The following is a 26,156-nucleotide window of genomic DNA, read 5'->3' on the forward strand; positions in this document are numbered from 1 at the left end:
TAGTGATCTGACCTCGTAGGGATTTGCCCAGTCTTCACTGTGTGAATCTCAAGGTTAATTACTTATGCCTAAATTAACATGGTAGAAAGCACACTGCTTAAGCCAGAGAGCTCTTCCTAACTGAGGAATGGTTGGAATCTTTATTAAACAATCTGAATTCCTTTTCCCTTTGGGTTCCAAACAAGTTTTCTGAAGCCATTACAGACCTTTTGGGTGGTCCCTCCAGATGAGTGGCAGAGATGTTGTGAGCAGTGTACACTTCTCCCCGGGGGTAAGGCTGTGAGTCTGCCCTAGCTGTGGCATCTGGGATGCAAGCAGGTACAGTACCAACACTGAGGGCACCCGGTGCTTCACTCAAAGGAGGGAGAAGCTCTTAATCTGTTATACAGACCTTTTGCTCTTAAGTATTTTAAAATAGAGAAATGTTTCTGTGCTGATAAATGCAGTATCTTAGTTGTATTAGAGTGGATTAAAATGGAAAACAATGTCCTACTTATACTCTGAATAGGGTGGATAATAATGTTCTATGAGGTGATCACCAGCTAATACACTAAATCTTTGTTGTTACAGAATTCTGCACAGCCATGGGTCCCGGACTCTTATTTTCCCCCATCTGTTCTCAATACGTTTTTGAAATTGAAACTCACCCTTTTTTTAAATCAAAAACATTGCCAGACCATTTAGTCCTCTTGGAAGGGCCTCTCCGGTGGGGCTTCAGTCCTGTTAAAGATGGTTACCAGACATCACCAGGTTGAATGCTGGGACTGGTGTACCGTGAGAAGAGTGGAAAGTAAAGAGGCTGGCTTTGAAAATGTGTCTTCTCAAAGGCTGCCCCTACTCCCTATTGCCATTCAGCTGCATTCCATCATCCTCTTCCTCACTGGTCGCTTTTTATACCACCTCAAAAGGGGGCTGAGCTCTGGGACCAGGAACTGAGACGCCTCTGGACACGCACCAGCAGCAGCGGGTGCAGTGAGGGCTGGCTAGCTTCTCCCCAGTCTCCTTAAACACCCAGCCACGGCCAGGGGCTTGTTGAGGTTAATGAGTTTCTGTTTAGTCTGCTTCTAGTCTTGTGTATTTTCTCTGGAGTGTTGTTTTTGCAGTGCAGGGTGAGTCGGTGTGGGTGTTTGAATGCTGCTGTTTGCTGTTTTTTAAAGGCCTTCTAGCCCTCCCATGGGGTTACTGCAGCAGGAATTCTTACCTGTGCTTCAGCCCAGCATACAGACTGCTGACAGGTACCAAGTGGAATCAACGCCCGCTCATAGTGTGCTGTTTGTCAACATGTTCGCTGCCCATGGTTCTCAGCTCTTCGTTCCTCAGTGCTCTTTTTCATGCTTTCTTTCTTTTTTAATTTGTTCCGCATTTTGGCAAACCATCTGGTTGTAATATTGTAACATTTCTTATTTTTTTTCCATAAGTTGCCAGTGTGTTTGTGTTCGATTTAAAAATCATTATGGATCTGGAAAAAACAATGAAAGCTATATAAATCTGTATTCAATTAAGTGCACATTAGCTTAGGTGCACCATGATTCTCTTTTGATAAAACGTTAAGGCTTTCGGTCATATATATTTAAGGATGCTGACGTTTATTTTAAGTACATTTTTATTTGTGGATACTCATATGAGTGACCAGTCATTATGGTCATATTAGCAATTAGTTGCCTGGTATCTAAATAGGCACTAATGTGTTTTTTTTCCTGCTACTGATGTTTTTTCAGACCTTACCTTTCTGAATTGAAAATATTTGATAGGCTAAAATGCCACATTTATTAGCTGGTTTATCCTGTTCTTAAACCACAAAAGCTTACTAATTCTCTTTTTCATCCAAACTTACCAAAGTGATAGTGCTTCTAATAGAAATATAATTGAATTGTGCCACTCTTTATATATGGAGATAATACAAATTGGACCCTGATCTGCAGGATGTAGCATTTAGTTATATTTTTAGTGGTATTAAAAGCAGGGTTTATTAGCCAGGCCTGGTGGCATATGCCTGTAATCCCAGCTACTCGGGAGGCTGAGGCACAAGAATTGCTTGAACCCAGGAGGCAGAGGTGGCAGTGAGCTGAGATCATTGCCACTGCACTTCAGCCTGGGTGACACAGCAAGATAGCAAGATGCCATCTCAAAAAAAAAAAAAGAAAGAAAGAAAGAAAAAAAAAGGAGGGTTTGCCCTTTAGCTAACTGTCTGCAAGTGCCAGTAACCTCCGCTTGGTCAGAGGGTCAGCTCCAGTTTGAGGCTGCAGCCTGGGACCCAGAAGAGCAGTATCTCAGGGCAGCATAAATGGTTTGCATCTATCCTAGCGGGACCTCACCGATGCTATGTCCTAACTACTGAGCTACCCATCCAGATTTGACGAGAGATAGTCACAAAGAAGTGTGCATTTACCCCACGGCCCTGCTGTTTTCCCCTGTAGTTCTTTAAAACATCCATGGGCATTAGAAGGTTCTGTGATAGCTTTACTTATCTAACAAAGCTGGATTTTTTTTTTCTTTTCATCTGTTGTTTTACAATTTGGTGACTCCTGTTGTCCTTATTTGATATGATCATTAATACAAGTTTTTAAAAACAGAAACATTTTAGAGTAATTTTAACACTTTTATCTTGCCCAGAACATAAAAAAATCTTCATTTTCAATCCTTATAACTTTGTGTGAGGGAAATTAGGCATCAGGGTGGGAAACAGAGGTGACTTTTATTTGTCTAAGTCTACCAAATTGCTGAACTAGTAGGTAAAACTCCCTTCCTCTTAACTGAGCTGACTGATTTTTGCTAGATTTTTCTTTTCGTTTCTTCATTTTGTTTCTTCCGTTTCCTGGGATTTCATGTGTGATTTCTTTTTCTAAAGCACAACCTTTGGGGTGTAGTTAAGAGACATTTTTCCCTGTGTCCCCACCACCCCTTCCACACATGTGCAGGTCTCCCCTGAGTGCCCAGACAGCGCAGGACCACGCAGTCCACTCCCTCTGCCCCTCAGAGATTCTGCCTCTCTCTCCTGACCTGTGCCACATTCTTGTGTCAGGACCCCACCTCCCGCTGCGTTTTCTTCAACATATGAGAGTCTAGATGGGCACAGCATTTAGAGGAGCTGCCCTATTCTGGTGTCCTGGGGAGAGAGACGTGCTTGTGACCCCGGCTGTGCAGGAGCCCTGAACCTTTCTGGGAGCACCAGCTGCGGGGGCCATGGTGGGAGCTCACTTGGGTGATTGGCTCATTCAGGTCTCCTCCCTCCTTGCTGCTGCCTCTGGAGGGTCTGCTGGCCGGGCTGGACATGAGCTCTTTGTAGCCAGTGTGGACTGGACCCATTTGGCCCTAAGTAACTGAATTGTGTACCAGTCAGCAGTAGGGATGCATAACACCAGAGCTTCATTGATTCAAAGGCAAAGCAGGTGGCATTTTACTGAACAATTAAATGTTTGAAGTAACCTTTTATAGAGTGAGAAAGATGTCTGTCTAGTTTTAAGTCTTTCTGAAGAGAAATGGGCTGGAATGTTTGGTTGGTTGCAGCTATTCTTGTGTTCTTTTTAAAATATCTGAAATTATACTTAGATATGGGGCAGGCTTTATTCCTACCCAAGTAGCAGCGATCAGCGATGCTGGTGCTAACCCCTGGTCTTTGTCTGTTTCCCTATTGCTGACCTCAGGCACCACACTGTAACTCGAGGCATCACCAAAGGCGTGAAGGAGGACTTTCGCCTGGCCATGGAGCGCCAGGTCTCCCGCTGTGGAGAGAATCTGATGGTGGTTCTGCACAGGTTCTGCATTAATGAGAAGATCTTGCTCCTTCAGACTCTGACCTGAGTGGAGACCTTTCCACCAGACACAGCTCGGGCCTGTGTAATTGTAGGAGAAGACACTCAGCAGTGATTGCCATGGCACAGAGCCGTGGTCATTGTTGCTGTTACAAAGAAGAAAACCATCTGAGTTCTAACTCCTTGGTTGCTTAAAAGTAGTTCCCAAGAGTCTGAGAAGCTATTTCTATTTTTAAGAGTCATTTTTTGTAATTTTTGTAAAACAAAAGTACCAATCTGTTTTGTAAATAAAAATCATCCTAAAATTTGAAGTTTTTAAAAATTTAATTCTTATGAGTTTTTGAACAGGGGTGCATTTTTCTTCTTTTCTAAGCATATAGCAAGGGGGAAAATCCAGCATAATTGAATTGAGTAATGAATTTTACTAATATAGATACTTACTTAAAAGACATATGTCTTCCATGACCTTAAGATTTTATTTTCCATAGTTAGGCTTTGGTCGGTATTGCATATCAACATAATATTAGACGTTTTCATTCAGGTGATCTCTTTTTTAGAAACAAGGTCTCACTCTACACCCAGGTTAGAGTGCAGTGGCACGATCATAACTCACTGCAGCCTCAAACTCCTGGCCTCAAGCAATCCTCCTGCCTCCAACCTCCCAAGTAGCTGGGACTACAAGTATACACCACCATGCTCAGCTATTTTTTTTTAATTTTATGTAGAGACAGGGTCTCACTATGTTACTCAGGTGGGTCTCAAACATCTGGCCTCCAGCAATCCCACCTCAGCCTCCCAAAGTGTTGGTATAACAGGCATGAGCCACCATACCTGGCCTCATTCGGGAAGTTTTAACACCAAAAACATTTATGTAAAAATGAATTTGAGCCTGACCTCTCCCACTGATGGTCCCCTGAAGGAGAGGTGCTCAGGGCTGCTGAAAAGCCCAGGACAGGAAGTGGAGGTGAGAGGCAAGGTGTGGCAGAGCAGCCTCCCCATTGCTGTCTGGCTCCAGGAAGTCCCTGCTGCTGTGCCAGGGTGGCCCAGTGGTTTCTACCCAGGGGCTTTGGAGCCAGGTGGCCTTGTGTGGCTTTGCATCCTGGCTTTGCCCTGCCCTTACTTGCTATGTGACCGTGGACAAGGTAACTTCTGTGTGCCTCAAGCTCTTTGTCTGAAAACGGAGCTGAGTGGTCCTCCCCTTGCTGGTTATTGGGAGGATGAAATGTTGCTCCACGTGAAATGCTTGGGAGAGGGCCTTGAGTGTAGTTAGTGCTGGCCAACATTAGCTATTAGGCTAATTTTTTTTTTTAATTAGGCTAATTTTATTTTCCTTTTGCTCTTCATGAAATTATACAGAAGACAAACATCAATAAAATTTGTTTCAAGGGAGTATTTAAGAATGAAAGAGCTAAGAAGTTTTGCAGTTACTCTGCATAAAAGGTCTTAGAAATCTTTTCTAAATAAAGATCCTTTTTATAGCTATATTAAAATCAATAAGATGGTTTAAATAAGAGACATCTGATCTCAAAAATATCAACTAGCTTGTTTTGCAGTGTTTATTAGTGTAATATGAGTTTATTACAAATATATAAGCTATCCTTTTTTTAGTGATGGGATGTGCTGCCACCTAAAAGCTCCCAAATTAAACACTCTCACCTTTAGGTTTTCTAACACTATTAGGGTTCTTCAGAGGGACCGAACTATTGGATAGATGTATATATGAAAGGGAGTTTGTTAAGGAGAATTAGCTGACATGATCAGAAGGTGAAGCTCCACAGCAGGCCGTCTGCGAGCCAAGGAAGAAGGAAGCCCACAGTGGCTCAGTCCAAGTCCAAAAGCCTCAAAAGCAGGGAGGCCAACAGTGCATCCTTCAGTCTGTGGCCAAAGGCCCGAGAGCCCATGACCAACCACTGGTGTAAGTCCAAGAGTCCAAAGGCCAAAGAACCTGGAGTCTGATGTCCAAAGGCAGGAAGCATCCAGCACGGGAGAAAGATGAAAGCCAGAAGACTCAGCAAGTCAGCTTATCCCACCTTCCGCCTACTTTGTTCTACCCTCGCTGGTGTCTACCCAGCTTGAGGGTGGGTCTTTCTCTCCCGATCCATTGACTCAAATGTTAATCTCCTCTGGCAAAAGCCTCACAGACACACCCAGAAACAATACCAGCTATCTAGGCATCCTTCAATGCAATCAAGTTGACACCTAATATTAACCATCACGAACAGCTTCCTCAGCTCAGTGTTTCAGGAGCAGTGCACATCACAACAAGACTTTCTAATACCCCAAAATGTAGGTACTAGCTAAAAGAGGATTAACCATCTTTTTTAAAATTCAGTGGTGCCACTTCTCTGTGAAGAGGCTGCAGGGAAAGGGCCACAGAATAAAATGGAAACTCAGACTGAATTTGCAGAAAAAGAAGGAGCTGGGAGAAAACTGCAGACCTCTCAGCACATAATGGCTCCATCCAAATCGCTGCACTAAGAGACCTGACCAAACTCTAGCTTGGCTACCAGCAGCTTAAGGCCATGACCCCAGTCCCGCTTAAAATGCCTGCCTGAGAAAGCTCCATGCTACCAAAATTTATTCCAGACCAAACCAGGTGATAGGCAGATAGGCCCCTGGACTCTCGCTTAGAATAGTTACTTTAAAAAGGTTGCAATTACACATCCTTTGCCCTTTGAGATGCAAAGTGACCCCCCAGAGCTGTTTTCTCAAGAACCCAAGAGCTGGCTTTTTGAAATCCATTCAGGGAATCAACTCTTGCTCCCAGTCCCTGTGACAGGGAACATTTGAGCTGGGTTTGGACCACTGTAACATTTAGACTCCTACAGGAGATGTACTGTTGCCATGGCAATCCTGCTCCCTAACAAAGGAACTGCAGGCTCAGGCTTTTGGTGTCTGCTTGTCTGAGTAACGAATGAGGCAAAGCTACCATCGGGATGACCTTAAGGCAGGCAGAAGATACAGCGGTGCATAGGAGGCTTGACTGACCTTGGATATCTCGTCCCAGACATTCCCCTCACCTGGCAGCGGGGTGCACCCTGCGTGCACAGCATCCTCCTCCTACGCTTAGGTCCATCTGGATGTAGAGTCCCTCCTGGGAAAAGGGGAACTGCCAGAAAGAGACACCTGCCCCTCACTCGTCACCAAATGCAGGTTCCTGGGGAAAATGATGCTAGTAAGACCTGCCTCTGGGTTTCCTAAGCAGCAGAACAGCTCCCTCGCTGCAATCCATTGAAAGTCAGTCCTGGACACCAGGGTTTGTCCACCCATATGGAGGCTCCAAGCATCTATGCATCCATCCCTCTCGATCCCTAGGACTTCGGACCCGGAGCCACACTGTGGGGCGGCAGTGATCAGGTACCCTCCTGGCAACCCGACTCAATGCCCCGCCTCCTCGCCACCCTGCCAGGATGCACCCTGGGCTGGGACAAAGTTGGGGAGCGGTGGGGATAGCAGAGATGGATGGGTAGCCCCCTGCATCCTCAGGGTTGACCAGCAGTCTGCCAGGCTCGGTCTCTCTTCTGCAGTCCATCAACCTCCAAAGACTCACATCGATAGGCCCCTGCCTGCCTTAGGCCAGGGGTCCCCATTAGACTGTAGCCAAGGGACAGCCCATTGAGACAGTGGACTAGCTCAAGGCCTCGAGCTGCTGGGTCGAGACCAGTTGTCCGGCTGCCACCTTAGACGAGAGGCTAGGGCCAACCTAGAGAGGGGCCCACGGGGACCCAGACTGGCAGCGGGGGTAAAACAGAGAATCATTCCTCAGGTGGGGTGGGGCCCAAGGTTTATGGGAAAAATGTTATTGTTATTAGAAATATTTATCTGTAAATATGAAATCACAGAAATTGTAATACAGTCTTCTATAACATTAAATATAAATTGTAGGGGTTATAAATGATAAATCCATGTGAAAAACAAATAAACGTGAACAGTTATTTTTATTTTTTTAGAGACAGGGTCTTGCTCTGTCACCCAGAGTAACAGTCACCCTGGAGTGCAGTGCCGCGACCATGGCTCATGGCAGCCTCCTGGGCTTAAGCGATCCTCCTGCCTCAGCTTCTGAGTAGCTGGGACCACTGGCACATGCCATTATGCCCGACTGATTTTAAAATGTTTTATAGAGACAGGGTTTCACCATGTTGCCCAGGCTGGTCTCCAACTCCTGGATTCAAGAGAACTGGCCACCTCTACCTCTTAAAGTGCTAGGATTATAGGTGTGGGCCACTATGCCAGGCCTGAAGTTATTTTTGTCACTGTCACTCATCATGATTGTAACTATCGCTGTTATGATTATTCGTTGTCGTAGCTAGAGCAATAAACACGCTGAGTACAGCTCTCTGTCCACAAAAGGGTTCCACCAATGGGAGGCAACGGAGGAAGTGTTCAGGGCTCAGAATGTCCAATCTTGCAGGGCACCACTGTCCCCCACCCATAGCTGGCCCTGGCCCAGGGCCCTCTGGAAAAAAAAAAAAGTCAAGGCCTCCTGGACTGTGGGGGTCGGCCCCCTCCAACCCATTCCAACCAGGGAGCTCCAAGGTGGAGGCCAGGCACACGCTGGGCACTCTCCGCCAGCCTTGGGCCAAGAAATGTGACCCAACGTGAGTGGAGCCAAGGCCGGGTATCCTCACCACCTGTGATGGCTTCTGTGGACACAGACTTTCGCATCCCTTGCCAGGAACAAGCTGGTGGCTGCTTTTATGTAATCCATGAAGGTCACCCAGATGGCCAGACCTGAGCCTGGTGAAATGGGGGTGGGAATGGGCCGGGGTTGGTGCGAAAGGGCAGCTAGAGGGTTAAAAACTGAGACTGAGTCCTCAGCTGGAAGGTGCAGGATGCAGAGTCAGGTGTGAGAGTGACTCACGAGGTTTATAGTAATGAGAATATTTTTGTTATTTATAAACAATTGTAATTAATACATATATAATTATATAAGTACTATAAATATATAACTTTATTATACATAAACTATATATAAAATACAAAATATTTATCTATAAATTATATAATACATAAATATGTTATATAAATTTTGTTTTTGTTTTTGGGAGAGTCTTGCTCTGTCACCCAAGCTGGAGTTCAGTGGCATAGTCTCGGCTCACTACAACCTCTGCCTCCTGGGTTCAAGTGATTCCCCTGTCTCAGCCTCTCAAGTAGCTGGGACCACAGGCACATGCTACCACACCCAGCTAATGTTGGTATTTTTAGTGGAGGCGGGATTTTGCCATGTTGGCCAGGCTGGTATCAAACTCCTGACCTCAAGTGATCTGCCCGCCTCAGCCTCCTAAAGGGCTAGGAATACAGGTGTGAGCCACTGTGCCCCGCCCTGTATGTCATATAAATTCTGAAATGTAAATTAAAGTATAGATTATAAGAATTTTATAAATATTAATAAGTATATAAAAGTAATTATTGTCATTGCTATTTATCGTTACTGTAATTATTACTATGATTACCAATAGGAGTTGTTATAGAAATACTGAATAAAGTTTCTCTGTCTAGGAAAGGTATTCAGTTGACCAGAGATGATAAAGAGGGTTTCCAGGCCAATGAATTGTCTCAATTCACTGGTGAGCACAGGAAGGCCGTGAGCAGCCACCAGCCTGGAGAGCCTATCCACATCTCCACAGTGATCTGCTCCAAATGCTCAGGACTGAATCCAGACCCTCCCTCATTTTTGACACCCACTTCCAAGTTAGGGTCAACAGGGGAAGCCAAATACACTGACCCTCATGGATCATGTGGAACGCACCTCTTCTTGTCAGTCTGCTTCCAGCCATTCCCAGATCAGCCCGCTCCCAGCAGGATGCACCCTCCTCTTTTCCTACCATAAAGCTTTCCTACTCCTCTGCCTGCCTTTGAGTCTCTGCCAAGCACAAGCTGTTGTGGTGGCTGCCTCTTACAATAGAGAGCGAGCTCTCGATTAATAAATGTTGTTCTCATGTGGGTGATCTTTATCTCCACAAAGGTTATGACACAGGAGCCTTTTGGTGCCTCTGTGTCAGCCAGAAACCTCTGTGACTGGCAATGCAGGGATCTTGCTCAGCTCTGGGTTCACCACCTGGCTTCCTCCACCCACTTGTCCTGGCAGGCTGTATTCGGCTTGTGCTCCTGGCCTGGATCCCATGCCCACCAGCTCTTCACTCAGCCTGCAACTGGTCTGCAGGCTGCCTTGAACGGCTTCTGCCTTGGGTGCCAATGTCTGGATAAGGGGGATGCAGCAGTGCCTGAAAGCTTGAAGATGCCAGCAACCACGGAGCCCCAAGGGGTGTTACAGCCTTTTCCTCAGGGATTCCTAAAGTGCTAGGACTTTAGGCTCAAAGTCTCCTTTGAGCCCTCAGGAAGCATTACAGCTCATTTGCGTTACAGCTCATTCATTCCCATCATCTGCAAGCTTCGGCGAATCAGGTCATGTCCCAGCTTGTTTGGTCCTGCCGCCCTGCCCAGGCCTGTGGCTCCTTGGCTGATCAAGTTCTGCTGTCACCGCTTCCTGTCACATGGGGCAGCCATCTGGCACCAGTGGAGGGTGGGAGGACTACAGTGCTACAGCTCTTTTCACACCTGCCATTCAGTGGGCTCCATGTCCTTGTCCTGCATCCAAGAGAAATGAGCTATACAGACACCAGAGAGTGGGCAAGATTGGGAAGAATTGTCTTGAGTGACAGAAAAGCTCTCAAAACAAGAGGGGACCCAAGGTGGGTAGCCGTCTGTGTGAGAGGGAGCCTGAAGGCAGATAGTCCCAGTGTGTGGCTGAGTCTGAGGGTTTTATAGGCTCAGAATCGGGGAGTGCATACTAATTGGTCCATGGGCAGGCCTGAAAAAAGCACCATTTGGGGAGAAAAATTTTGCAATCCACGCATCTGACGAAGGGCTAATATCCAGAATCTACAAAGAACTTAAACAAATTTACAAGAAAAAAATCAAACAACCCCATCAAAAAGTGGGTGAAGGATATGAACAGACACATCTCAAAAGAAGACATTTATGCAGCCAACAGACACATGAAAAAATGCTCATCATCACTGGCCATCAGAGAAATACAAATCAAAACCACAATGAGATACCATCTCACACCAGTTAGAATGGCGATCATTAAAAAGTCAGGAAACAATAGGTGCTGCAGAGGATGTGGAGAAATAGGAACACTTTTACACTATTGGTGGGACTGTAAACTAGTTCAACCATTGTGGAAGACAGTGTGGCGATTCCTCAAGGATCTAGAACTAGAAATATCATTTGACCCAGTGATCCCATTACTGGGTATATACCCAAAGGATTATAAATCATGCTACTATAAAGACACATGCACACGTATGTTTATTGCGGCACTATTCACAATAGCAAAGACTTAGAGCCAACCCAAATGTCCATCAAAGATAGACTGGATTAAGAAAATGTGGCACATATACACCATGGAATACTATGCAGCCATAAAAAATGATGAGTTCATGTCCTTTGTAGAGACATGGATGAAGCTGGAAACCATCATTCTCAGCAAACTATCGCAAGGACAGAAAACCAAACACTGCATGTTCTCACTCACAGGTGGGAATTTAACAATGAGAACACTTAGACACAGGGTGGGGAACATCACACACCGGGGCCTGTCATGGGGTGGCGGGATGGGGGAGGGATAGCATTAGAAGAAATACCTAATGTAAATGACGAGTTAATGGGTGCAGCACACCAACATGGCACATTTATACATATGTAACGAACCTGCAAGTTGTACACATGTACCTTAGAACTTAAAGTATAATAAAAGTATATATATATTTAAAAAAAGAAAAAAAAATAGAAAAAAGCACCATTTGATTGGCTAAAAGACACCAAGGACATTCTCACTCTAGGTTGTGGACTCTACCTGAAACTGGCAGCCTGGTTTTCAGGCTTCAGGTTGTCTTTTAGCTTGAAGGTTGGGATTCACTGAGGACGTTTTACTGCCTAGGAATTTGTCTGCCTCCTGCCTGTATCAGTTAGTAGTAGGGAAAGCAAATAAAGCAGTCAGAATCATAACCATGCCCTACGTTAACTCTTTCTCTGTCTCCCTTATGTCCCTATTTTTTCCATCACACCATTTTAAAAATTAGCATATAATCTGCATACCATAAAAATTCATCCTTTAAAAAGTGTACAGTTCAGTGATTTTTTTTGTCTATTCACAAAGTTGTGCAACTATCACCACCATCTAATCCCAAGGCACTTTCTTCACCTCAAAAAGAAATGCTTATGCCCATTAAACAATCCCCATACCCATTAATCAGGCATTTCCCATTTGACCCCTGCCCCATACCTTGGCAATCACCAGTCTGCTGTCTTCACGACTTGCTTATTCTGAATATTTTATATAAATGGAATCATACCGCATGTGGCCTTTTATGTTTGGCTTCTTTCACTTAACAGAATGTTTTTGCAGCTCACCCATGGTTTTGTATGTATCAGTGTTCTATTCCTTTTTATGTGTAAAAGACCAGAATATACCACTTCAAAATATATCTTTTTAGCATAAAGATTATTTTGAGTTGAAGGCATTGAGAAGAAACAGACACAGGAAAAACTCTCTGCCCTCCTTCTATTTGTCTAAAAGCAGGACATAAATTTACAAGGGTATCCCTCCTTCCCGTTCTACCAATGACAAAGGTTAAGCACCAGAGACACCTTTAAACCCTTATCAGCCTGGAGACTACCCAGTGAAATTTACATAACAAGCTTTACTAATTCTCCTTTGTCAACCATTTATTTGCCCCTGGAGGCTCAAAATCCCTTTCCTTTATCTTGTCACAATTCTAAAACATTTGTTATTCTTTGTTGAAGTTGCTATGTAAGCTGGAGTTCTAAGCTACCTCTTTGATAATCACTCATTTTTTGAGTATCTCTCATATGTATATGATATATACATTTTAATAAGCTTGTTTGTTTTTGTCTTGTTAATCTGTCTTTTGCTACAGGGATCCATCAGCTAAGAGCTAAGTAGAGAAGATGGGAGACTATTTTTCTCCCCCTTCATATGGCTTAATAAGTTTCTATTGTAAGCCATTAAGATGGAATGATTGATTCATTGGTTTTCCCATGCTATCCAGTCCTTCTGCCCCACCCCCTAATTTTAATTTGTGGTAAAATACCCTTAAAAATGAAGAACACTGACATATGCTATGACATGGATAAACCTTTGAAACATTATTTTGGGTGAAATAAGCCAGTCACAGAAAGACAAATACTATACAATCCCACTCATATGAGGCACCTAGAATCACCAAATGACTAGAAACAGAAAGTAGAATGGTGGTTGCCAGGGGCTGGCTGGGTGGAGCAGGTAAGGAAGGGAATGGGAAACTGTTAGTTCAATGGGTATAAACTTTCAGTTTTTCAAGATGAGGAGTTCTGGAGATGGGATGCATAGCAATATGAATATACTCAACACCACTGAACTGTGCACTTAGAAATGATTAAGATAGCAGATTTCATGGGGTGTGGTTATTTAACACAAATGTTTTTTAAAATGTATTCAAATATATATCCCATGCAATGTGTCATTTCAACCTTTATTTTTTGGTAACATCTGTCATTTTTGGTAACATGTTATTTTATAATCTCTGATTATAAAGGCAGTAGAATTGTGTTCTATGAGATTAAAATAAGGAGATATCAGAGCACAATATCAGGAATCACATGGTTTACTGACATAGAGAGATTTTTTTCTCTTTTGGTTCACAATGGTTAAAGATGGGGAAAATAGCAAATAGATCTCCCAGAGAATACACTTGATAGACCAGGTATGTTAACCACATACTGAGTGGGTTCCCAATTGCTCAGTTAGGATGGAAGCAGGGCTCTAAGAAAAGTAAAGCCTAATTATAAAATTTTGAGATGTACTTTGATAGGAGCGGTTCTCCAGAGAAGCTGGATTGACCAAGACAGTGGGGGAAATCCGTGAAGGACGTAAGGTCCCTTGATGCTAGAGGGCAGTAGCAGTGTGGTGGTGGGAAGGGGAAGGAGGGATGTTTCAAAGCTCCAAGGCCCATCACAGCCTGAGCTCTCGGCAATCAGAGAAGTAGCTGACAGAGCGAAACCTGCCACAACCTCGGCTCTCAAAGTGTCTGTCTAACTCATAAGTGTATATGTAATTGCAAGCCCAGTAGTTTAGGTCAGTGGCCTGATCAGGTATGACGTAACATTCCCAAGGGGATGGGATGCATTGCTATTTTTAACCTCATACAGTAAGATAGAAGAGGAAAGAAATAACTTAAAGATGGATTTCATAATTAGAAGGGCAGCAGCATGGAGTTTTCAGCCTGGCCATGTAAAGAATGAAAAGGTGTGCTCAGGAGAGCGAACCAGGTGTGTGCTAAGGCGATTCATATGGATAAAAGGGATCACCAAGACAATGGGAGGATGACTCCAAAGGCATTTCAAAGACTTTCAGGGCTGCCCCTGCCATCACAGGCCCAGAGCTCTAGGAGGGTAGAATGAATGTTGGGGACAGACCAGGGTACCCTCCATGGGTTCATTGCCCACAGCCACCTCGGAGCTTTGCTTCCACATTCCAGTGCAGTGCTCCTCAGCCACCCTGGTTGTGGCTCAAGTAGATTCCAGTGTAGCTCAACCTACTACTCTGGAAGGTACGAATCATAAATCTTGGCAGTGTCCACATGGCGCTAATTCTGCAGGCGTGCAGAATGCAAGAACCTTGGGGGCATGGTTTCCTCTGCCTACATTTCAAAGGATGTCACAGACAGCCTGGTGACCCAGGGTAAGACTTGTCATAGGGTCAGAGTCACCACAGAAAGCCCCTATGAGGGCAATGCCCAGTGAAACTGTGGGGTCAGAGCCCCCACAGACAGCCCCCCCAGGACAATCCCTAGTGGAGCCATGGGAGTGAGACCACTCCCACAACCCCAGAACTGCCTTGGAGACCTGCAGGCACAGCAAGAGACTCCAACCTGTGAATGCTGCTGCGTGGTATGAGCCTTATGGGTCCAACCTCTACTCCAGTGTGTCCAGAACATGGGACATGGAGTCAAAGCAGACCATTCTGGAGTTTTAAGACTTGTTTTCTCTTTTGGGTTTTCATACTTAGTTGGGGCCACTTACCCCTTTCTTCTTGACTATTCTTCCCTTATGAAATGGGAAGGTCTATCCTACATCTATCTCACCACTGTATTTTACAGTGGAGATAACTCATTTTGTAGATAACATATTTTGATGTCACAGGCTCACTGCTAGAGGGAAGTTGCCTCAGGATGAATGGTGCCTTAAGTCTCACCCATTTTGGAGCTAGATGAGACTTTGGACTTCAGGCTTTTGAATTGATGTTCGAATGAATTAAGATTCTGGGGGCTATTGGGATAGAATGAATGCATTTTGCATTGTGAGAAGGACAAATTTGTGGGGCTAGGGGTGGAATGCTATGTTTTGAATGCATTCCCCGAAGTTTATGTGTTGAAAACGTAATCGCCAATGCAACAGTGTTGAGAGGTGGGAATTTTAAGAGGTGATTAGGCCATGAGGGCAGAGGGAAGAGCCCTTACGAATGAATTAATGTCATTATCACAGAATTAGGTTTATTATTAAAGTGAGTTCAACCCTCTCTTGCTTTTTTACTGTCTTATGCTCTCTGGCCATTCTACCAGACACAGCAAGAAGTCCCTTGCCAGATGCCTGGGAAGACACAGCAAGAAGTCCCTTGCCAGATGCCTGCACCTTGATATTGGACTTGCCAGCTTCCAGTATGAGAAAGAAAATAAATTTTTTTTTATTTATCTGTAGTATTTATTTTATCTGTAGTGTTCTGTGATAGTAACACAAAATGAACAATGACAGTCCATATGACCAAGGAAATAACAACTCTGTTCTCTCAACAAAATACAATTAGAACCACAAAAACAATAGCCCCATACTCAAAGTAGATAGGGTTAAATAATCTTGTCTGGAAAGGATTTTAGAAGTCCTGTGGCCGGTCTCACTTTTTCTCCCAGTGTTGTAATCTACAACTGTGCTGTCCAACACAGCATCTGCTAGCCAGAAGTGACTACTGAGCACTTGAAGTGAGTCTAGTCAAAGTTAAGATGGGAGCCAAGCATAAAATATGCATTAGGTTTCATAGTCTCATTATGGAGAAAATGATACAAATGATCTCAATTATTTTATATTCATTATAGACTGAAATAACATTTTAGATATGTTGAGTTAAAATATATTATTAAAATTAAGTTTACCTATTTATTTCCGTGTTTTTAATGTGGCTTCTAGAAAATGTAAAGTTACATATGTGGCTCATATTTGTGGTTCACATTATAGTTCTATTGGACTGTCCATTGGTCTATGCCATTCCCCCTAGGGGTCATCCAGCTTATGCTAGGACACCTCTGAAGACAGGAGCTATGTCCTTGGCTCAGGCAAACAGTAGCAACTGAAGTCTCGGTGGGTGATTAGGGTGAGTTACCTAACTTCTTCCCAAGGCCAAGTAGCAGCCTCATGCTTCTGACTGGCATTTCCCAAGCTTTGGTCTCTTCCTCCTTGAATGAGTGATTAAATTAGAATTCAGGAAATACATGCTAATGTAACATGAAAAATATTTTCGTCTTCTGGCCAGGTGCCGTGGCTCATGCCCATAATCCCAGCACTTTGGGAGGCCAAGGCAGGGGGACCACTTTAGCCCAGGAGTTCAAGACCAGCCTGGGCAACATAGCAAGACCCCATCTCTACAAAAATTAAAAAATTAGCCAGGTATGGTGGCGCATGCCTGTTGTCCCACTTATTGAGGAGGCTGAAGCAGGAGGATTGTTTGAGCCCAGGAAGTTGGGGCTGCAGTGAGCTGCAATTGAACCACTGTACTCCAGCCTGGGCAACAGAGCAAGACCCTTTTCCTTAAAAAAGAAAAAAGAAAGCCTTACATACACAAGTGAAACCACACTGTAAAAACTGTGAAAGAGTTAAGTGGTAGCCTCAGAAGAAAATTTAATAAAAAGAAGAAAAGCACTTTAAAGAAAAGAGATTAGTTAGGAAAGACTGAATGGAAGCAAGAGGAGAAAGCAACAAAAAATTGAAAGCATGAATGTTTTCTTCTTTTTGCTAATGATTTAGGGAAATCATTTACCAAGCCTACCTAAGGAGTTAAACCACTTTCCTAATACTATAACCTCAGGAAACATCTAATCCCTAATTTGACATAAATGTAACCTCTCAGAGTATATCAAATCCATTTGCATAAACATAAAGGCTTGCTTGGCAGCTCATGAACTCACTGTTCTTCTGCATGAAAGAAAGATTACATTTTAATAGAAGTGCTGAAATTTGCCATAAAAGTAACTTCAGGGAGCTTTAGAAGCTGAAATACTCTTTATATTACAATACATCTGCCTCGGGTCGTTAATTTATTATATGTTATTTTCATAGCCTCAAAGAATTATACAGCTCTCTGAAATGAAATGTTAATTTTTTCTTTCTCATAATCGATTTATACACCTAGTACCCCAAATACAAGGAGGGAAGGAAGGAAGGAAGGAAGGGATGGAGGGAGGGAGGGAGGGAGGGAGGGAGGGAGGGAGGAAGGAAGGAAAAGAGAAAGAAAGAGAAAGAAAGAAAGAAAGAAAGAAAGAAAGAAAGAAAGAAGGGAGGGAGGGAGGGAGGGAGGGAAGGAAGGCACGAAGGAAGGAAGGGAGGGAGGGAAACAGAGAAGGAAGGATGGAAGGAAGGGAGGGAGAGAGGGAAGGAGGAAGGAAGGAAAGGAAAGAAAGAGAAGAAAGGAAAGAGAAAAGGAAGGACAGAAGGGAGGAAGGAAAGAAAGAGAAAGAAAGAACAAGAGAGAGAGATAAGGAAGGAAGGGAGGAAGGAAGGAAGGGAGGGAGTGAGGAAGGAAGGAAGGAAAGAAGGAAGGAAAGAAAGCAAGCAGGCAAGAAAGAAAGAAAGAGGGAAAGAGAGATAAGGAAGGGAGGAAGGAAGGAAAAAAGGGAAGAAAGGAAAGAGAAAGGAAGGAAGGAAAGAAAAGAAAAGAGGAAAGAAAGAGGGAGGGAGGGAAGAGGAAAGAAAGGTAGGAAGGAAAGAAAGGAAGAAAGCAAGCAAGAGAAAGAAAGAAAGAAAGAAAAAGAAAGAAAGAAAAGGAAGGAAGGAAGGAAGGGACAAGACAGGACAAGACATGAAAGAAGTCATATAAGGAAAATAAAATACTTCTGGGAAACCTACATTCTTGATATTTAATTAGCCTTTAATGCAATTTCTCTCCTTCCGTTTTTTAGACAGTAGAAGAGATTTTATGCCTCACCTTAACAAATGAGTTTTAAAAGTAAACTTAAAACATAATATTGAAACTGCACAAATCTTATGCAGCGTATGACCCAATAAAGTTTCAAATTTAACCCAACTGTGTAACCAGCATTCATATAAAAAAATAGAACATTCTCAGCTCCTCAGAAGCCCTCGGCACACCCTGCAGAATCACTAACTTACTCCAAAAGTATTCACTGTTCTGACTGCTAGATTAGTTTTAACTATTTCTGAATTTTACGGGAGTGCTCTTCTTCCACCCACCATTTGTTTTGTGGAATACATTCATGTTGTGCATATAACAAATTTCTCCTGTAAATAATGAGATATTTTAGGCTTTGAGGGTCTACATTTCAGCATGTATGGTGTTTTGGGTTTTTCGTTTGTTTGTTTGTTTTTTGAGATGGGGTCTCACTCTGCCACCCAGGCTGGAGTACAGGGGCACAATCTTGGCTCACTGCAACCTCCGCCTCCTGGGCTCAGGCAATCCTCCCACCTCAGCCTCCTGAGTTGCTGGGACCACAGGTGCAGGGCACCACACCTGGTTAATATTCTATTATTTTATTTTTTTATTTTAGGTAAAGATGGGGTTTCACAATTTTGCCAAATTTCTCGAACTCCTGAGTTCAAGCAATCTACTACCTGCCTCAGCCTCCCAAAGTGCTGGGATTACTGGCAGGGGCCACTACAACCAGCCTAAATTTCAATTTTTGGTGCAATGACTTATAGTTGCAAAAGCAGCCATAGACAATCCATTAATAAATGAGCATGGCTGTGTTCCATTAGAACTTTATTTACAAAAAGCAGTAGTGGTCCAGGTTTGGTCCACTGATAAGCCCTATACCATAATCAATTCTATATGCACGTGCCACCGCATCTGGCTAATTTTTGTAGTTTTAGTAGACATGGGGTTTCGCCATGTTGGCCAAGCTGGTCTTGAACTCCTGATGTCAGGTGATCTGCCCTCCTTGGCCTCCCAAAGTGCTGGGATTGCAGGTGTGAGCCTCCATGCCCAGCCTGCTTTTCTAAAAAAAAAAAAAAAAAAAAAAAATTCTGGCCTGGCACGGTGGTTCATGCCTGTAATCCCAGCACTTTGGGAGCCTAAGGTGGGTGGATCACCATGTGTGCTGTGTTCACTGCTCCACCCCTGCATTCTAGAACAGTGGCTGGCATGGCAGGTGATGGATAAATCTTCTCTTATGTGAACATATCAAGATATAAATGTGCCTCTTCTGTTCCAGTGCAGGCTTGGGCAGCCCACATCATCCGCTAGATTCTTTCGTGGGCAGCATCACAGAGCAAATGACATACTGAGTGCCCTGGCTCTGTCCCCACTGACCATGAATGTGGAAGTCATCTGACCACCTCCCTGGGCTCCAGATTGCTCATGTTTAAAATAAGTGGTTTGGATGGATGGTTTTTGTGTTTTTAATTTTACTGCAGCCTGCAGCTTTTTTATGCAGAGATTTGGCTCATAAAACTGATAAAAGTGGAGCTGTTCAGACTCAACTGAGGGAAGACACCAGAGTATGACTCTTTGTCTACTTCTGTAACCACCCCACCACAACCCCCTACAACCTACAACCTTCAGCAGTGAGTCTGGCATCTCTACGAAATCTCTGGGTATCTGCAAGGCAGAGTTTAAAAACAACTCAACTGGCTAATCTTTAAGGCGACTTCCAGTTTTAAGATTCCAGTAGCAGATTTTTTTTTCTTTTTCTTTTTTTGAGACAGGGTCTTGCTCTGTCGCTCATGCTGGAGTGTAGCGGTGTAATCATGGCTTACTGCAGCAGCCTCGAATTCCTGGGCTCAATCAATCCTCCTGCCTCAGCTCTCTGAGTAGCTGGGACTATGGGTGTACATCACCATGCCTGGCTAATTTTTTATTTTTTGTAGAGATGGGGTCTCCCTATGTTGCTTACGTTGGTCTCAAACTCCTGGGCTCAAGCTAGTAGCAGATTTTTTAAAGGGAGTGGCAAAAGATGAGGCCAGAGAGGTAGGCAGGGAAAGGGCTGTGGGTCAATTGAATGCAAAGCCACTAAAAGGTTCGAATCAGGGAGATGACTAATCTGATTTAGTTTTAGGAAATGGTTCTAGTTAAACTTGATGGGTGGATATATGCATAAATCCTTCATTACTGGCCTGCCTGTAAATTGGCAAAGAATAGGTAGATACAGACATAGAACTAGGCTGAGGTACAGATAGAGATAGAGATAGAGACAGAGATAGATTTAGAGATATAATCCCACAAGAGCAAAGAAAAAGGGCAAGAGCGCATAGCAATGGACATGAGATTTAAATAGATCTACTGAAGATAGGTGTGGATAGAAACGTGGTGGGAATTCTCTTAGATGAATAAAAAGGGCTACAACTTGATCTATAAATAAGTATGCAGAGAGTAGTTAGCTTATGTGTTTTATAGACCCGTGAAAATCTTAGGATTTGAGACCCAGGTACCAAGAAGGTAAGGTGAGGTTCTGACCAAAAATGAAGGGCTGATTGAAAGTTTGTTTATGAATAGTTACATCCTAGATACCGTCCAAACCCACCTCTACCTTGCAGGAGGCAGGAAGACTTTGTAAAGATCACTAGCGAGGCTCTCAAATAAGGAAAAACCAGATACGGTAAGGAAAAAGGTGGGGCAAAATCTCAAAATAATAGGAGCCAATGAAAATTTTCATATTGCACTGGTGAGAGTTTCCAAACCTCTTTTCCTGTCCTTATCCACAAATGACAGCTGCCTACCACATGTCAGAAACTGATGAGTTTGCATCCAGAGAAATTGAATGACCAAGAGAAAAGGTTAAACATTAAACATTTAGGAATTCTCCAAAGAAACTGACTCTCACTGCCTAGTGACCTTGAAGTGAAATTCAAAAGTTAGTAAGCCTGACGAATGCAAGACTCAGAAGAAAACATTTTAAAAAACTACTATGACATCCTCAAATAAATGTGTGAAGATATTGCATCTATATATTATGAATAGCATGCAATTAAATAGAAACTTGAGGAGAATAAATAGAGCTCCTGGAAATTAAAAATGTATATGGTAGCCAAAGTTTTAAAAAAGGTAGAAGAATTAAAAGATAAAGACATAGCACATTCCCAGACAAACAAACAAAAGGATAAAAAATGGAAAACAGGAATTAGAAAAAGAGAACATTAGAAGATCAATATAAGAGGTCTAACATAACATCCATGGGAATTATGAAAAGAAAGTACACGGGAAATGTAGGGAGAAAATTAATAAAAGAATACAAGAACATTTCCCAGGATGGAATAGCGTGAGTCCTCGGATCAAAAGAACCCACCAAGTGCTCAACAGAATAGACCCAACACAAAGAAAATCAAACTGACATTTCAGAACATGAGAAGAGAGGTGCTAAGCACATCCAAAGAAGAAGAAAAAAATCCTTTTGAAGCAACAGGAAACAGAAAGCCATTGACTATAGTATCACGAATAGAAGAAAAATGGTAGCGTTTCTTCAAAATCCTGGGGAGATTTTTTTCAACTAGTGATCGTACGGCCAGCAAAATGTCAATCAATTGTAATGGTGGAATAATTACATATTCATTCTTACAAGGACTCAAAGAAACTCACATCTCATGTCTCACTTTTTTAGAAGTTGTGAGAGGATATACTTCAAAGAAGACAAAAACGTGGTTCAGGAGGGAACTGCAGGAAGGTGGTCAAGAGGGGTCCCAAGATGACAGATAACTGAGTTGGCCCAAGAGCAACAGGTCCCGATTTGAGCAGGTAGAGGGAAGGTTCCAGAAGGAGAGAGGTCTCCAGGCAATAATGGAAATAACATAATATCTTCTATCATTGATAGAATATCTTTTTCTATCAATGCTAAAATATCTTTTCTCCAAATATATGTATTTGGAGAAAAACTACTAACAGGACTATGATACAGCCAATGGGAAACATTAATATGACGTTAACAGGAAATTACACAAGGGAGAAGAAAGAGGCAATTCAGGAAAAGCAAAGGGTAAAAGAAAGGTAATAAATAAATTCTGTAATGTCACAACGTGGTCATATAAGCCCTGGCTGGCTTTAAATACAAGTTAAAGTGAATATTTAATTTGATGGGAGTAGGGGAAAAGGAAAACTATATAGTCATTTATAATAACATGAAATCAAGAGATAATGTCTACAATTTATAGTTCAAAAGCAGCAGTCTAAGTTTATTACCAAAATGATGTATAAAGCTAAATGTAACAAAACACAGTTAAAAACGTTAAAAGAGATAATCTCTGGAGAGCAGGAGATGGGAAGGGGAGGAAAAGACTGTGATACGGTATAGCCCACGTTTTTTGGCCATGTGTTACTTAGTTATACTTGATTTTAAAATATGCTCTATGCTTTACTTTTTAAAGTTTAAATTAAATACATTTATATATATTTTAAATTATTCCTTACGCGCTCTAAGGAAAGAAATGAAGTTTTATGTGAACACCAGCAGGTGGCACCATTTTCTACCTCTCAGAGGGAAAATGCTTCCTCTTCTTTTTCCAAACTCACCTGACTGATTACATTGAATTGTGTAGCCTTTCCTCACAAGAAAGAGAAGCTCTAACTGATCAATCTTTACTGAGAAAATTATTTGTTTCTCTAGATTTTAGGCAACCATAAACTTTCTATACTGACTACGCTGAACTGAAATAATCAAATTATCCGCTACAGTACATTTTCACTGATATTTTGCTTTTGTAAAGCAGAGATGAATTCAGTAAGCTCTTCCTGCTTTCATAAATACTTGCCTTCAAGGAAAACCAGCACATTTGTACAGACACACCCTGTTTACTTACCGACTTAACCTGACTTCATTACAAAGTACCAATGTTGGAAGACAGAAATGCTATTGGTTATGACAACACAATTTGGACTCTAAGTTGATGCTGATTATAAGGAGTACGATTATGAGGACTGAATCGGTTTTACCTAATTTCATCCCCACTAGCTCTACATGATACTGAAGCTAGATCTTGAAGCAATAAAAAAGACTGATCAACTGAGCAGTGGTTTCTGAATGCCTCTCATCTATACTTGCCTTATCAATGCCTGTCCTTTCTGACCCCTGCAATTTGCTCACTTCCTCACCCGGCTCCCTCTGCCAACTTGCTCTGCCACCTGGACTTCATGTTCAGCTCACCTGTCATCCACTCCCTGACAGCTGTCTCTCCTTTCCTCTAATGCACCCACTCACATCACTCTCTCTGCCTCACCTACTCTTTGCTCCATTTAGCAAACAACATTTTTTCCAACATTGTCTATTTCTGCTTTGAACTATCTGATGCTTTTTCTTCCAGTCCATTTTTTTTTTTTCTCTGCATTGGTAATTGTGTGTCTTGGTCTCTTTCTGTGGGTTAGGGTCAGGGTCAGGGTCAGAGGCAGAGTTTTCCATATTTCTTTCCGGTGGCCACCCCTCTCAGCCATACTTTGCATTCTTTCTTTCATTGCCTGGGGCATTCTCATGGATTCAGTGACATTTCAGCTGTCAATACTGTGAAAACAGTGAACCACCTAGACAAAGGAAAATCACCATGGTGCTTACAATAAGCATTTGGTGAGTATAGAAACTAAAGAAGGCCAGGCAGGGTGGCTCACGCCTGTAATCCCAGCACTTTGGGAAGCTGAGGCAGGAGGACTGCTTGAGCCCAGGAGTTTGAGACCAGCCTGGGCAACATAACAAGATCCCATCTCTACAAAAAATACAAAAAAAAAAAAAAAAAATTAGCTGGGCATAGTGGTGAGCGCATGAAGTCCCAGCTACTCAAGAGGCTGAGGCGGGAGGATCAGCTGAGCCTAGGAGGTTGAGGCTGCAGTGAGCCATGATCACGACTCTGCATGACAGAGTGAGACCCTGTCTCAAAATAAACAAACAAACAAACATAACTTAAAAAAAATAGCTGATACTGAGTAACTTGGTATTGGTTAATGGCAGAGGTATTTTTGCCTCTGTTTTAAAAATGAGATGTGTAAATGACGAGATCTGGGCTAAATATGGACCAGCTGGGATTAGAATTAGAACGAACAGGGAAGTATGAGACAGGTGACCTCGCTGCCAGCTCTACTCCTCACAGATGGGTGACCCCAAGGCTCTTTTAACCTCGGCTTCTCAGGACTCAAAAGAGACATGGTAATATACATTTCTGAAGCCACATTCCTTGGACCAGGGGAAATATTGATTTCCTGTCTGTTTTTAAGATTTGTAATTTTAACATGTGGCTTTTACAATTCCCTTAAATTGGCACACAATAAAGAGCTTCTGGAAAAAAAGGGAACTTATTTACTCAGTGATTAAAGGATCATTATATATAAATATAAGGATATCCTTTGTCCCAGTAGAGGAAATTGGGGGAATTTGGCTCCATGATATGGTGATAAGAAATAGAACTTTGTGCTTTCTGAGACAATGACCCAGGCATTGACTCAGATCTGCACATAGAACTCACCTGTTTCCAAAAGTGGGTCTGGTCCATAGAGCTGTTTGGAATCATTCCATTTCTTCCACAGTCACTGGGTGGGATTATGAAATCTCTCCCTTAATGTGTGTATGTTTATTCACTCGAAAACACTTGTACTCATGAATAAATGTGTGTGCAGGAATTTTGCTCACTTCTGGTTATTTCTTGAGACATGGAACAAAGAGACATGGACTTGCTTTCCATGAAGCAGAGAGAGCAGAGAGGAGCTTTAGAAACTGGCATTAAGAGGCTTAAAAACTGGAAATGGGGAAAGATATATTAGTCCATTTTCACACTGCTGTATACTACCCAAGACTGGGTAATTTATAAATAAAAGAGGTTTAATTGACTCACACTCCACATGGCTGAAGAGGCCTCAGGAAACTTACAATCATGGCGAAAGGTGAAGGGAAAGCAAGGCAAGTCTTGCATGGCGGCAGGAGACAGAGAGAAGGGGGAAGTGCCAGACACTTATCAAACAGCCAGATCTCATGAGAACTCACTCACTATCATGAGAACAGCATGAAAGAAACTGCCCCATGATCCAATCACCTCCCACCAGGTCCTTCCCTCCACACGTGGGGATTACAATTTGGATTACAATTCGAGATGAGATTTGGGTGGGGACACAGCCAAACCATATCAAGGGGTTTCTCTCCTTGACATCTAACACAACACAAGTTGCCACACCAGCCAGGTCTGCTCAATTGTGTTTTCTCCTTTTTTTCCCTTTGACTCAATAAAATTAAGTATTAAAAAAAAAAAAACTGGTCTTGGTAACACCCGTATTATGTATTATGTGGACTAAAATAAAGTTGACATATATTCTTACTTTCCACACGTGCTTGTGAAGCACCACATGTGCAAGGCATTGCTCTCGGTGTTAGGGATACAGCAGTGATACAGGCAGGCAGAATAACTCAGCAGGAGCTTGCATTCTGGGAAGGGGAGATAATCAATCAATCTATCATTCAGTCAGTCAGTCAATCAATCAGTAACTAGCAAGAAAAATTTCAGATAGTGGTGAGTGAGTACAGATATGTAATGACTAGACTGGACAGCTACTTTATGTGTTTAAGTAGACATTTTAGGCTGAGATTGTGTGAGAGGAGAATATCTTGGGCCCCCAAAATCACTAAGCTAACAGGAAAATTCAAGCTGGGAACTGCTCAAGGCAAGTCTGCCCCCCATTTCTATTCAAAGTCACTCTGCTCACTGAGACAGATGCATATGCTGATCTGGAAAGGCTTCTCAGAAACTCAAAGAATGCAACCTACCGGTGATCTGGAAGTCCCTTCCCTGCTTCAAGTTGTCCCCGCCTTTCTGGATGGAACCAACGTACTTCTTACTTATATTGACTGATGTTTCATGTCTTGCTAAAATGTGTGAAACCAAACTGTGCCCCGATCACCTTGGGTACATGTTGTCAGGACTTCCTGAGGCTGCGTCATGGGTGTGTGTGTGTCCTCAGCCTTGGCAAGAGAAACTTTCTAAATTAACTGAGACCGGTCTCAAATTTTCAGGTTTCACAACTGGAATAAGAATGATGATTATAATGATATTGGAGGAAGATGCATTCCAAGCATACTGAATTGATGGTACAAAGATGCACAACCAAACCTAGACCCTCAGTCAGGCCCCTATATCTGGAGCGAGCTCTCAAAAGGGGAG

General features: G+C 42.8%; 1 protein-coding gene and 1 long non-coding RNA gene across 29 annotated transcripts in view, besides 2 other annotated features; both read left to right on the forward strand.

The window, feature by feature from the left end:
• INTS10 (integrator complex subunit 10) overlaps nucleotides 1-4,063 on the forward strand; it is a 34,652-nt gene extending 30,589 nt beyond the window's left edge. For 18 of the 28 annotated variants that reach the window (NR_148452.2, NR_148458.2, NR_148457.2 and 15 more), the window contains 2 exons: nucleotides 1,158-1,235; nucleotides 3,645-4,063. Coding sequence is in view for 19 of the 28 variants with exons in the window: in NM_001353511.2 (NP_001340440.1) it covers nucleotides 1,158-1,235; nucleotides 3,645-3,801 (235 nt within the window). In the remaining 9 variants the exon portion in view is untranslated. The remainder of the gene's footprint in view (nucleotides 1-1,157; nucleotides 1,236-3,644) is intronic. The other 10 variants (NR_148456.2, NR_148455.2, NR_148453.2 and 7 more) reach the window with 1 other exon arrangement.
• A 1,829-nt stretch (nucleotides 4,064-5,892) lies between these two features.
• Nucleotides 5,893-9,700, forward strand: LOC124901901 (uncharacterized). Its single transcript, XR_007060843.1, has 2 exons — nucleotides 5,893-7,109; nucleotides 9,252-9,700. It is a non-coding gene; the product is annotated as an uncharacterized LOC124901901 (long non-coding RNA).
• Nucleotides 8,310-8,809: an enhancer, noted in NCBI's record as "H3K4me1 hESC enhancer chr8:19713825-19714324 (GRCh37/hg19 assembly coordinates)". NCBI's record gives its function as "activates a minimal SCP1, AML or CMV promoter by ChIP-STARR-seq in primed H9 embryonic stem cells {active_cell/tissue: H9 hESC(primed)}" and the evidence as "EXISTENCE:reporter gene assay evidence [ECO:0000049][PMID:30033119]".
• Nucleotides 12,188-12,914: an enhancer, noted in NCBI's record as "NANOG hESC enhancer chr8:19717703-19718429 (GRCh37/hg19 assembly coordinates)". NCBI's record gives its function as "activates a minimal SCP1, AML or CMV promoter by ChIP-STARR-seq in primed H9 embryonic stem cells {active_cell/tissue: H9 hESC(primed)}" and the evidence as "EXISTENCE:reporter gene assay evidence [ECO:0000049][PMID:30033119]".

This window comes from Homo sapiens, chromosome 8, assembly GCF_000001405.40.
Source record: "Homo sapiens chromosome 8, GRCh38.p14 Primary Assembly".
Taxonomy (NCBI): domain Eukaryota; kingdom Metazoa; phylum Chordata; class Mammalia; order Primates; family Hominidae; genus Homo; species Homo sapiens.